General features: G+C 43.1%; 1 pseudogene, besides 1 other annotated feature; it reads right to left on the bottom strand.

Moving 5' to 3' along the window:
- PBX2P1 (PBX homeobox 2 pseudogene 1) lies at nucleotides 4,752–7,943 on the bottom strand (annotated as a pseudogene).
- Nucleotides 12,689–12,828: an enhancer, noted in NCBI's record as "active region_20652". NCBI's record gives its function as "activates an Ori minimal core promoter by ATAC-STARR-seq in GM12878 lymphoblastoid cells {active_cell/tissue: GM12878}" and the evidence as "EXISTENCE:reporter gene assay evidence [ECO:0000049][PMID:35858748]".

The following is a 14,491-nucleotide window of genomic DNA, read 5'->3' as shown; positions in this document are numbered from 1 at the left end:
GAATGTGGTTGGGAACCCCAGGCCAGATATAGGTAAATTAGCACATGGAGTGATGACGATGACTACAAAGCCTTCAATAAATAATAAACCCCCACATCAACCTTGAACTCCTCTCTCTCTCTTCTCCCGTCTTTCTGTCTCTCTGTCTCTATCTCTCTCTCATTCTGTCTCTCCCTCTCTGTCTCTGTCTGTCTCCCTTTATCTGTTTCTCTCTCTCCCTCTCTCTCTCTCTCTTTCTCCCACTCCCTCACTCCTTCCCTCACGTATTTCTGTGTTTTTGAAAGATCTCCTTTTCACGTATGTGTGTACACCCCATGGCTGTTCTTCTCAGATAAGTAACAGCATTTCTTACCAGATCTGGATTTAGAATCTGCCCTTTTTGAGCATTCAGAAATCACTCTAAAATGTCAAACAGAGCAGAGCTATATGAGGAGACATCCACAGCACACACCGTGAGGGCAAGTAAGGCTCAACACTGTATTTCTAGACTCACTTTGCAAGTTCCCTAAGATCAGAAGGAAATCCAACAAGGCAACGGAATTCAATGGTGTGAAGTATGCATTGAGTAGATTACGGTACAGCTTAAAAGGTGAATTTAGACACCACAGACAGAAAGATGACAGTCTATAGCCTTGTTTGCCTTGTTAGTTGTTTTTTGTTTTTGTTTTTGTTTTCAGCACTTTCCACTCGCCTTCTAGAAATCTCAGAGCCTATGGTTTCACTTTAAAGAACCAGGTCAAAATTGTGCAACACTGGTCTACAGGATGTTAACAAGTTCTTTGTGAAAAATAATTATTTGGAATTATTTTTAGAGTTTATCAACTTAACTTCTAGGTTGAAAAAAAGCTAAACATGTGTCTTCACTTAAGTACTTTTCTGTACTTTTTTTTTTTTTTTTTTTTGAAACAAGATCTTACTCTGTCACCCAGGCTGGAGTGCAGTGGTGCAATCCAGTGATCATGGCTCACTGAAGCCTTGGGCTCCCCAGGCTCAAGTGATCCTGCCATCTTAGTCTTCTCAGTAACTAGGACTACAGGCACACACCAGCAGGCCTGGTTAATTTGTGTATGTGTGTGTGTGTACATTTTTTGTAGAGACGAGGTTTGGCCATGTTACCTAGACTGGTCTCGAACTCCTGGGCTCAAGCAATCCTCCCACCTCAACCTCCCAAACTGCTAGGATTACAGGTGTTAGCCACTGCACCTAGCCTTGGTGCTTTAAATATGTGTGTTATGACTCTCAAATATATGGACATAGCATGTGATATTCTCCAAAGTTATTTGATGATGGAAACATTTTTTTAGAGGGAATATCCTGCAGGGTCAGTTTTTCAGGGAACATATTTTGAGAAAGGCTAGATTAGATCTTTCCCTTTTATTGACCCAAAGAAAGAGTAATAGATTCTCTTATGATACTCTTCACAATATTGAACAATATTTTTAAACTGAAGACTTGTATCATGGGCACTTTTGAAAATGTTAGTTGGAGAACTAAAGAGAAAACCACATGATTATCTCAATAGATGCAGAAAAGGCCTGAGATAAAATCCGACATCCCTTCATAATAAAAACTCTCAATAAACTAGGTATTAAAGGAACATACCTCAAAATAATAAGAACTATGTATGACAAATCCACAGCCAATATCATACTGAATGGGCAAAAGCTGGAAGCATTCCCCTTGTAAACCAGCACAAGACAAGGATGCCCTCCCTCACCACTCCTATTCAGTATAGTATTGGAAGTTCTGGCCAGGGCAATCAGGCAAGAGAAATAAATAAAGTGTATTCAAATCGCAAAAGAGGAAGTCACATTATCTTTGTTTGCAGATGACATGATCCTATATCTAGAAAATCCCATCATCTCAGCCCAAAAGTTTCTCAAGCTGATAAGCAACTTCAGCAATGTCTCAGGATATAAAATCAATGTGCAAAAATTGCTAGCATTTTACACCAACAATAGGCAAACACAGAGCCAAATCATGAATAAACACATTCACAATTGCTACAAAAAGAATAAAATACCTAGGAATACAGCTAACAAGGGAAGTTAAGGACCTCTTTAAAGAGAATTACAAACCACTGCTCAAAGAAATCAGAGAGGACACAGATGGAAAAACATTCCATGCTCATGGATAAGTAGAATCAATATGTGAAAATGGCCATACTGCCCAAAGTAATTTACAGATTCAGTGCTATTCCCATTAAACTACCATTGACATTCTTCACAGAATTAGAAAAAAACTATTTTCAAATTCATATGGAATCAAAAAAGAGCCCAAATAGCCAAGAAAATCCTAAGCAAAAAGAAGAAACCTGGAGGCATCATGCTACCTGACTTCAAACTACACTACAAGGCTACAATAACAAGAACAGCATGACACTGGTACAAGAACAGACACAGACCAATGGAACAGAACAGAGAATCCAGAAATAAGACTGCACACCTACAACCATCTGATCTTCTACAAACTTAACAAAAACAAGCAATGGGGAAATACTCCCTATTTGAGAAATGGTGCTGGGAGTGTTGGCTAGTCATACGCAGAAAATTGAAACTGGACTACTTCCTTACACCATATATAAAAATTAACTCAAGATGGATTAAAGACTTAAATGTAAAACTCAAAACCATAAAAACTCTAGAAGAAAATCTAGGCAATACCATTCAGGACATAGAGAGAGGCAAAGATTTCATGACAAATGCATTGCCAAAAGCAGTTGCAACAAAAGCAGAAATTGACACATGGGATCTAATTAAACTAAAGAGCTTCTACACAGCAAAAGAAACTATCATCAGAGTGAACAGGCAACCTACAGAATGAGAGAAAATTTTGCAATATATCCATCTGACAAAGGTCTAATATCCAGAGTCCACATGGAACTTAAATAAATTTATAAGAAACAAACAACCCCATTAAAAAATGGGAAAAAGACATGAACAGACACTTCTCAAAAGAAGACATACGTTGGGCCTGGTGGCTCAAGCCTGTAATCCCAGGACTTTGGGAGGCCGAGGCAGGCAGATTACCTGAGGTAAGGAGTTCAAGACCAGCCTGGCCAAGATGGTGAAACCCTGTCTCTACTAAAAATACAAAAATCAGCCAGGCATGATGGTGGGTGCCTGTGATCCCAGCTACTTGGGAGGCTGAGGCAGAGAATTGCTTGAACCCAGGAGGCAGTGGTTGCAGTGAGCCGAGATCACGCCACTGCACTCCAGCCTGGGTGACAGAGCTAGACTTCGTCTCAAAAAAAAAAAAGACATACATGCAGCCAACAAATGTTAAAAAAAGCTCAGCATCACTGATCATTAGAGAAATGCAAATCAAAACCACAATGACATACCATCTCACACCAGTCAGAATGACTATTATTAAAAAGTCAAAAAAACAACAGATGCTGGCAAGGTTGCAGAGAAAAAGAAGTGTTTTCACACTGTTGGTAGAAATGTAAATTAGTTCCACCACTGTCAAAGGCAGTGTGACAATTCCTCAAAGACCTAGAGGCAGAAATACCATTTGACCCAGCAATCCCATTACTGGGCATATACCCAAAGGAATATAAATCATTCTTTTATAAAGATACATGCATGTGTATGTTCATTGCAGCACTATTCACAATAGCAAAGACATGGACTCAACCTAAATGCCCATCAATGATAGATTGGATAAAGAAAATGTGGTACATATACACCATGGAATACTATGCAGCCATAAAAAAGAAGGAGATCATGTCCTTTGCAGGGACATTGATGGAGTTGGAGGCCATTATCCTTAGCAAACTAACACAGGAACAGAAAGCCAAACCAAACACTGCATGTTCTCACTTATAAGTGGGAGCAGAATGATGAGAACACATGGACACATGGAGGGGGAACAACACACACCGGGGCCTGTCAGGGGAGGGGGTGGGGGAGAGAGAGCATCAGGAAAGATAGCTAATGGATTCTAGGCTTAATACCTAGGTGATGGGATGATCTGCGCAGCAAACCACGATGGCACACATTTACCTATGTAACAACCTGTATATCCTACACATGTACCCCTGAGTTTAAAATAAAAGTTGAAGAAGAAAAAAATAAAAAAGAAAACGTTGGTTGGAACGTTTATAAACATTTCATTTCATAATATGCAAATCTGAACCCTACAGCAGCGAGATTATCATAAACTCAAGTCTCCATTGAACACTAGGCATAGTGGTTTAGCCCACAGACTCTGGAGCCAGACTTCCTGGATTTGAACCCTGGCTTCCTCGCTTGTCAACTGTACGGCTTTGTGCTGGTTATTTCACCTCCCTGTGCCACAGCTCTCAGCTTTCCATGCCTATAATGACAATAATAACATTAGTACCTGCTTCACATTGTCTCTGTGAGACTTAATGAGTTAAAAATGTATAAAGTTCTTAAAATGGTAAATACTAACGAGGCTTTTGAGAAGAATAATATGCCACATAATAAGTCATTTCAAGTTTTCAGTAATAAAATAGTGCTTATATCCTTTGAACCACAGATTTATCCTGTTGCCTTTCCCCATCTAAGAACTGTCCTATTTTTCATGTGAAAAAGAAACAATGGAAATTTAGAAAGTAACAAAAAAAATATTCACTGGCAAGTTACACAATATTCAAATGTAGAAATGAGAGATTGTTCAGTTTGGAATATTTTATGGGAAAATATTAGATAGGAACTAAATATAACTTAGCCTAATCACACATGGTCTCCAGGCCTAGGGACACATTGACATTTTTTTTTTTTAAAGAAATTTCTTTATTTAAAACTGCATTTTTTTTTTCTGTGAAACTACACAAGTTTACAAGTGAGGAGAGAACTGCCCCCGGCCCATGCCTCCCACCCCCCAACCCATCACATTTCCAACCTGTCCCCAGTCCTGCCCGGATCTTTAATGGGAGGGGTTCCCCACTCTGACAGTCTTGTAAAATCCTGAGAATGTCTGAGGGGATCAGATGGTAGGGTTCAGGGCTGAGGATGGGACAGTGTTGATGTTACTTTTCCCCCACATCTGGCTTTTTGCAACCTCCTCCCTCTCCCTACCCCTTGATTTTGGTGTGACAAAAAGATACCTCATTTATGCGGAAATTGAGGAAGATACATATACAAGCACCCCAACCCATAATTAACATATTTGGCAATAACTCCCTTCCCATTCTTCCCCCTCCAATTTTCAAATAGAGTTTTTTAAAAAATTAAAGACATGTCACTCACAGGGGAAGATGGCATCTTCAATTTCCTCAAAATTACTGAGTCCAGCCCTGCCCAAGGGTTGTGGGAAGAAGGGGGATGAGAGGCCAGCAGGGCAAGCCCTTCACTGCCTCCACATCAAATGCGGCAGAAACCTGCCTGCATGAACAAAGAACACCTAATGGATTTTAGGGGGCAAAGCTTGGTGCCCTGTAAAATTTACTTCCTGATGGACAGGCCTGGAGCCAGGGGGGCCTCTTTACCAGTTCTGTTTGTCCCCCTTTCTCTTACCAGAACCCCTTTGGCTATCACCCCTAATATGGGAAAGTAAGAAATAAAAAAAAGACAAGAAATCAACATATTTATTTAAAAAAAAAAAACAAGCTACTTCCCCAAACTAAATTAAAAATTAAGAACCACCACCACCAACAACAACAACAACAAAAACAACAACAACAACAAAAACAGATGGATCCCAGGGTTTCTTTTTCTTTCTTTAAAAAAAAAAAAAAAAAAAAGTTCAACCCCAAAGCCCAGTCAATAATTCCCTAAAGTAGCAGAAACTCCCTCCGAGGTAGATATCTGAGTCAGACACTCTCGTCCACCAAGCGATTCTATTGGTTTAAGATGAGCTGCGTATGAGGTAAGTAAGCTGTCTGGAGGGGCAGGGGTGGGGATGCATGGGGGCGTGTCCCATGTCCTCTGTCCAGAAGTCATGTCCCCATTTTTGGCATCTCTGATTGGGCAGGGCTGGCGTCTCCAGATTCCAGAGCCTACAAGTGGGGTGGGGAAGGGAAAGTGGGGGAGCCCAGGAGAGAAACAGAATAGTTGCAAGTGGGAGTATGTGTGTGTGAGGTGTGGGAGAGGGAGAGAGAAAGACAGAGGAGAAAAAGGGGTCTGAGAAAATAGGTTTCTGGGTATGTGCATGTTTCTGTGTAAGAAAGAAAGCGAGAGAGGAAAAAGTTGGAAAAAAGGGAGAGACAGACCCCACACTCCCCTTAGGGGCCCCATTCTTCCTGCCATGTAATTAGCACCCCCAGCACAGACAGTCTCATTAGGGAGCGGATGACCCCATTGGCCCTTCTCTGTCTTGTGCTTCTCCTGTATTGGGGTTTGTCCTCTGGAAGCCTGCGTCCTCTTCAAGAGTCGCCTTGTGAGAGCCCCCACCCCTGTGACCCTGAGGGGCAAGATCAGTTGGAGGTATCAGAGTGAACACTCCCTGGTCCCTCCGTTGGGGATGTCACTGAAGAGGGGGTCACAGCCTCTTGCCAGCTGCCATTTGCCCTCATTTCCCGTGGGCTGTACATCTGGCCTCCCCCGAGGTTATCCCCATAGCCCCCTGGCCCCATCGAGCGTCGGAGTGATGCCACCTGGGAAGCAGAATAGGAATCTCCGTTGAGCCCAGGCATCCCCAGAAACATGTCTCCAGATCCTGAGATATTGAAAGAGCCGCCAGAGCCTGCAGAGGAAGGGGGTGTCGGGGAGCTGGTGCTGCTGTGGCCCCCCTGGGTGACTGACACGGCTGTCTTGACAGCATAGATGTTTGCCTCCTCTTGGAACTTTCCGATGTTTTTCTTATAGCGAATCTTCTTGTTGCCAAACCGGTTGGAGACCTGAGACACGGTGATGCCACACTTCTTGGCAAGCTCCTCCTTGGCCTCCTCACTAGGATATGGGTTACTCAGGTGGGAGTAGAAATACTCATTTAGGACCTCAGTGGCCTGTCTGCTGAAGTTACGGCGCTTTCGTCTGGCATCCAGGAAACGGGAGCGCAGCATCATCATAGCCTCGCAGGTGCTCTGCTTCAGCTGCATCTGGATGGCGCTGAACTTTCGATGGATGATGCTCACCATGCGTTCCATCTCTTTGGGGGCCACGGGCCTGGTGCGGCTCTGCTCCCTCAGCAGGTTCATGACATGGGTCGTGAACTCATTACATGCCTGCTCATACTTCTCCAGTTCCGAGTGGTATATGTGACGGATCTGGGCAAGTTTGCTGCGATAGTCCGAGTGTTCGATGGAGTTGTCAGGGGACACGCCACCACCAGAGGCTGCAGCGGCTGCAGCTGCTGCTGCTGAGCCGCCCCCTTTCTCGGGCCCAGCCACACCCTCTGCCAGAAGCATGTTGTCCAAGCGCATCAGCTGTGGGTCCACCGGCTCCTCCTCCTGGGAGCTCCGAATGCTGAGGCCGGTTTTCTCCTTGATTTCACACAGGACGCTAAAGAGAGCAGGCTTCATTCGGTGGCAGTTTAGGGCGTGTTTCTTGGCCTGGGCCTCGTCCAGGCTCTGGTCGGTGATGGTCATTATCTGCTGCAGAATGTCCCCGATGTCTTGCTTCCCTCGGCCTCCCGGGAACCCCCCGCTACCCCCACCGGGGTCTCCGCCACCAGGAGGCTCGCCAGGGCCCCCAGGCTCCCCACTCACCAATCCCAGGCCCCCCCCGGGCCCCGCCTGGAGGAGGCGGCCCCAGTAGCCGTTAGTCCATAGCTGGGGGGGGGCCCTGAGGCCCCCTCCCTGCTCAGCCCCTCCCCCCGCTTGGTTACTTCTCCCCACAAACTCGCTGGGGCCGCTGCTCCCTCCGCCCCAACCCCCGCCCGTCTGCCCCCGGCTCTCGGCTCCCCCGGGGGTTCACCCCGGCACTGAAGGGAGACCTGGGATACCGGCTGGGCCCCCCACAGGAGACCCCGGCCCCCGGCGGCGGAGAAAATGGAGCCGGAGAGAGAGAGGAGGCCCAAGCGGGAGTGTGTGTCCACATTGACATTTTGTGTTGGTGGGTATGCAGACAAGTGTGTATGAGTACTTTTGTATATCCTGGGCAATAAAATTTCAAGATTTTGCTATTTTAAATTGCTGAATTGAAAAAATAGCTATTTCTGGGTCATATACCATATTTGCTTGGATATCATGAACCCTTTGTTAGCAGACAGATTTTCAGTGTATGGCCAGATTTAAAGGACTCTTTTTGGGTATTGGTGAATTTACACTGAGGATTTCATGTTCCACTGCAGGCACCTTCTTCTCTGACCTCTCTCTGACTTAAAGCTTTGTCCCCAGTCTCTCGCTGGGTCTCTTCCTCTTACTAGCACAAATGCCAGACTCTGCCCTAAAACTTTCCTTCAAAACTCCACATATTCTTATGTCCTCATAGTCTCCCAAGCTAATTGCAAGTTTCCTCAAAAAAAATTTCTGTCCTTAAAGACATAATGTATGACTGAAAACCCTTCAGACCCCCTATTCTCGACGTAGGAAAGGCACTTTATATCATGTAAGTCCTAGTAAGGCTGAAGCTACAAAAGAAGCCTATAAACTTTCCAAATTCATTCTTGCTTGTCATCTCAAAAATGCACCTGAGGGTGTGGTTGGTTTGTGCCTCTCCCCAGGCCCATTCTTGCCCCTCTCTGTGCAGCCTTGGAGACTGCCTCCACTGGACCACATCAACCTGGCTCCACTGCCAGCTGGCTCTTGGTTGGGTTTGGCCAAGACCGACCCCTCAAGGTGAGGCAGGAGGAAAAAGAAGAGAAGATGTTGCCTTCCTGCTCCCACCCTGCCCTGCAGCATGTTTTCTGGTAGCGACTACATCTCTCCCTGACTTCAGCTCCCACCAGACTGGAGTAAAGCACTTTGCAATGTTCTTCATCCCTTCAGGCCTGGGGTGGTAATGACTGCCACTGTTGCTAGTCTCTGGGTGCCTCAGCAACCCTGCTCGTTCTCTTAATCCTGTCCACACCCCTTAAGGAGCCTCTTCTTTGCAGTCTCTTGAACTATGTGAATTGGATTGGTTTTTGCTAAGACCTTAACTGATAACAGAGCTCTGATAAAAATACAACAATTTTATGTAAATCCTAATTCTTCTCATTTTTAAACAAAAATAGGATATTTGCCTATACATATATAGTCTCAGAGGTTAAAAAAAGAAGCTTATGTTAAAATTTTTAATTTAGAATCCCACAAATTTAATCCACTTTAGCAAACTCCCTGGTCCCTCACCTTTGCTCCTCTCTCTGCCTGGAAATTCCCTAGATCTCCTCATGGCTGACTTTTTCTTGTCATTCAGACCTCAAAGTAATGGTTACCCATTTAGAGAAGGCTTTAAGTAGCCACCCACCTTCTCCCTCAGCATTTGAATTTAATCCTGTACACAACACCTTTTACTATTTGATATTCTTGCTATTTGTTTGTTTGTGTGCCCTGTCCCATGCTGGGACATGCGCCCTATGACAGCTGAGACTTTGTCCATCTTCTTCACTGCTCTGTCCTCAGCACTTGGCAACTACTTGGCAACATAGTAGGTGCTCAAAACCTATGTTGAGTGAATTAATGAATGAGTTGGCATTTTACAAGAGATAAATGAAATAAATTACTGTCCTTGTTCTCACAGAACTCACAAATGAAAGAAATTTATAGTAGAAGAAAGCATCATAATAGAAGAACACACAGACTCCCACATCTAGCCATGGCAAACTACTTTATGGCAGTGCAAACATCCCAGTGAACAAACCACAAAGGTGTGATAAAATGGAAAACAAACAAACAAAAACAAAAACAACCTGTTTTGAAGACATTGGAAACTCAAGGAAGCCAGGATTTTCAGGGCCAGGAGTCCAGAGTGAAGAGAAACTCACTGAGGTGAGCCCAAATCACTACTTTTCTCTTCAGAGCATTTTCTGATTCATATGCAGCATGTGTGGAAGGACTGAGAAGCCAAGTAGAAAGCAGCTGCTAAGAAGCAAAAAAAAAAAAAAAAAAAAAAGCAGAACAGAACTTTCACCACCTAACAGGGCTAGGAGTCCAGGGCCAGCAAGACAATCAGAACTTAAAGGGTCAAGATCCAGGAGAGAAAGGAAGCAGAAAGAAATGAGCCCAACCATGTGGGCAAACATTTTTCCCCTTGAGGCATTTACTGATTGATAAGAAGCACCTATAGAGAGGCATATAGTGGCTTCTGAGACTATAAGAAACTGGGCAGGACTATCAGCAGTGTTACAGTGCTGGAATAGTTTTTAAGTTTTCCCTGGAAAAAGAAAGTATCATTCATAATCTCTGCTATTTTATATATATATTTGGCATTCGATAAAATGTTAACAAACATATCAAGAGATATGACCAAGAAATTTTTTAAAAGATTATAGAAATAGACTCTCTAGAAATCCAAGGAGTTATATAAATACCTTAAAATCCTATGATTGATAAGCTGATAAAAATAGATAAGATTGAAAAAAAGTAACCAGAAAATTAGAATCTACAAAAAAGAAATCAAATGAAAAATCTAAACTGATATTACAAACTAAGAACTCAATAAATAGACTTAACAGAAGATTAGACACAGCTGGAAAAGGGACTAGCAATTTGGAAGATAAAACAATGGAAATTACTCAGAATGAAGCACAGAGAAAAAAGATAGAAAAAAATATAGGAGACCTATGGCACCTAGTAGAAAAATTTAACATATATGGAATTAGAGTCCAAAAGAGGAGGGAAAGACAGGAGGCAAAGCAATATGTGATAATGACCAAGAATTTTTCAAAGCTGACAAAAAAACGTCAAGCCACAGATTCAAGAAGCCCTTCAATCCCCATGAAGATAAACAGAAAGAAAAACGTGCCAACACACATCATGGAAATCTGCTGGAAACCAAATACAAAGAGAAAAAACTTAAAGATAAATACAAAATAATGTTTGCTTCAGAGAACTGGATAAAGATTCACAAAGAAGGCAACAATTCATTTATTCAACAAGAATTCACTGGGCACTTAATAAGCATCTATCACCAACTTGAGTCTTTAAAGAAACAAAGATATAAATTGCATTATCTCTGTTGTCTAGCAGTTCAAGTTTCATGTGTAAGAGAGATAGAAATGTAAACAAATTCTGCATAAAGCCTGCCAAAACGGATTTTTTTTTAACTGCAAAGGAAGAATGACGCTTGGAGCAGGCAGGTGTGAGGGGGCACAGAGAAGCTGCAGAATATTTGCATGTTGTCTTGCTAAAGTTTCTAGGCATTAAACAACCCAAGCAACAGCACAAAGGAATGAAATTGGACATCTCATCGAGCAATCGTGAGTTGTCTCTTGGGGTTCAGCATGGGGAGATGACAGGGAGTTGCAGAAAATGAGGCTGAAGAGTAAAGTTGGAAACAGATTCAGTAGGCAGTTGGGACTTACCACAAGTTTTTTCAGTAGGAAAGGGACATCACCAAGTCATTCTTTAGGAAGAGCACTCTGGGGCAACTTCAAGGGTACTCTTGAGAGGAAATCGATAGCAGCCCATGAGACCAACTAGACAGCTACTTGTCATGGTCCAGGCAAGCAAGAGAGAGTACGGCCTGAACTAGGGCAACAAAAATAGAAGTGACTACATGAGAGGGTATTCTCTAGACATTTCAAAGCCAGAATCAACAGGACTTAGCAGCCATTGCTTGTAGGAGACAGAAAAATAAGTCCAAGTTGACTTGGGTGTGTGGAGGATGTCACAATGATGTTAACACAAGGATAATATCATGAGGCTTGTTGCGTTAGAAACATCAATAGAACATTTCTGAAATGTCCATCAGGGAGCTGGAAAGTCCAGTTTAGAGCCCAGATGCAAAATTAGGAGCTGATACCAAGCTGTGAGGGCAAAGGAGAGAATGAGGCAGCCTGTGGCCTGGCAGAGCAAGAACTGAATAAAGACCAGTGACCCTGAAGTTAACACATCTCAGGAAATACAGATTATCCCAACAAAATAGTCTTAGGTTACTCATTCTGAGACTTGTGAAAATATTTTAATTAAAAAGAAATCATTAGGATGCGCATTACACAGGAAAACTGTTTGAGAAACAGATCTATTACCCTTTGTATTTTATGTTGTCCTGAAGCCTTTTGCTAAGCTGCATCCCAATTTTTTCTGCTTATACAGCAGAAACACTAATGATATGAGCTGTAGTTAAAAAGCACTTTCCAAGTCTGCTACTTGAAAACTTCAGTATGAATAATGTCAGAGGCATGGGGGAGGTGGTTAAAGGCTATGTCTCTGCTGTGTTTTTAAAATAATGCACATCAAATAAAGAAGAAACACCACTTAAAACTGAGATTAAATTTCCATTACATTAACCAATTACTTTGATTTAAGTATCTATGTATATATACACATATACATACACTGTCTGTATGTGCCAAGTGGGAAATTTTTTCTCTGTTATCAGTCAATTCCTCTCATTTCACTTATGATATATGGATAAGAACCTAACTTTGTCAGAGATTAGGAGCATTTTTGCAGCCCCACATTACTGCAGAATACTAAAGTTCAGGTCAAGAATAACAGACTTCCTTCTGCTGCAGAAATTTTCTCACAGAGCTACACCGGATGCAATTTGAACTTTTGTGTTTCTTAACTACTTGTGGTTTATTTCTTTAAGTCAGTTGATCTTGCTTCAAGTCCCTGAGGCCACTAGAGAGAGGCAGCTTGTTAAGATTTGTGCATCTGATCTTTGAAGATGACTCCCCAGATTCCTTTCCTACACCCCTAAAAACCAGCACCCAATAGTATCTACTCTATCGTGGGCCTAATTAGAGAGCAAAACAATTAACAGTTACTGAGTTCCTCCTCTGTGTTCAGCACTGCTTCATGTAACAAGAAGCAAAGAAGCCGTGGAAGAGATTTAAGTAAATGGAAGACAGAAGTTATATTTTTAAAGAAACTAACCAAAAATAGCAAGACACTATCATTGAGGGCTAAACTGAGCAGCATCCAGTATTAAATGCTGTAGGATCTTCTACAAAGGAGAGACTTGAGTGGACTGTGTGAATCTGGAAGGCTCTGTGAAGGAGGGAGAATTTAACCCTGGAAACACTAGTGGGTCTCTTTTACCCCTTTGCTCTGGGTGTAGCATTTATGTTACATTTTGGCACCCAGCCAAGGAAGAACGTTATACCACAGACCTGGTATTAGACACAGTTGAATTCTTTGAAAATTCAAGCCTTCTTCATCACACTTTGTAGTAAGAGGTCAAAGCTACAGTTTCTCTCACTGCCAAGCCCTCATCTGTGCTGCCTGTTCCAATATTACACACACACACACATACACACACACATACACAGCTGCCTGAACTTGTATAGAGGTAAAGCAGGGAGAAGGATTCTCTTTCCCCAAAGTCTGTAGCCTTATGTGAAGAGGGATAGTGCAGCTGATTCCAGGCCAATCTCAGGCCACATGGCGGCATCATGGAAGCTGGTCTGCAGAGCCCCTAGTTCCTCACCTCTGCCAACAGCCTCCTTTCATCCTCATTTACCTCCCTCTGGAATGTTTTCTCAGTAAGTTCAGATATCATGGGTTGTCACTCACCACGTTTATTAAGCACCTACAAAGCACAAAGTACTCTGCATGGAGTAGAATCTGTGAACCCAATGAACAAGGGAAGGAACTGCCAAGAAGTATACAATCTATAGGGGGACCTGACCGAAAATTCTAAGGCTGGCAGTATGCTAGAATTGTACACAGACAAAGCTATAGGATGGTGTAAAGCTTAAACCTACAGGCATCAGAATTTTTTTAAAAAGCCTTGTGGTTTATGAAGGTCTGCGGGGCAGGAAGAAGGAGGCAAGCGTTCATCAGCCAGTTCCTGAACACACGAGACTTGTGAGGGAGGACCTCGTGGGTCAGCAGCAGGGAGGCCCTCACAACTCTCAGGGAAGATCTCATGAGATTCAATATGAGAGGGAAAGGTGAACGTTAGACCTAAAAATAAAAAATAGGTGAAGGGGTTGTTGATAACATATATTTGAAAGAAGTCCCAGAGTTTGTCCAGTAAAACCTTCCTGAGCTGTCGTATTGCTAAATTCCACCTCTCTTTTTCCAACTCCTGATATGTAATGTCATCTTATCAAGACAGGGGCTGGTTTCTGCATTAAGGATATTAAGGGAGGAAAAAAATCAGTTGGGAGGCTCAAGGAAGATAGCCTCAGAAGATGGTAGGAGATGGCCTCAGAACCCAGCCCAGTGAGTAGACTCTTCTAAGGTGGCACTGGGGAGAAAGGCATGATGGTAATAGATGGGGAGAGTGAGCTGCATGTTCCAGAGAGCACATGGACTCCAGAAGAGCTGGATACATTGACGTCTGGGGCAGCATGGAGAAATTAGGAGGAGACCAGTGAGAAGACAGTGGGGCCAGTTCCCAGAAGGCCCTGCCTGCCAGGCTACATGGTGCAGAGTGGATTACATAGATACCGGGGAGCCAGCAATGTTTCTGAGCAGGGGTAGAGACTAGATCCCATCAAACAACCCCACAAAGTCACTGACTGATACAGCCTCTGTGACTATTTC

The sequence above is a fragment of the Homo sapiens genome, chromosome 3 (genome assembly GCF_000001405.40).
Source record: "Homo sapiens chromosome 3, GRCh38.p14 Primary Assembly".
NCBI lineage: Eukaryota > Metazoa > Chordata > Mammalia > Primates > Hominidae > Homo > Homo sapiens.
This window is presented reverse-complemented; position numbering and strand designations above follow the sequence as displayed.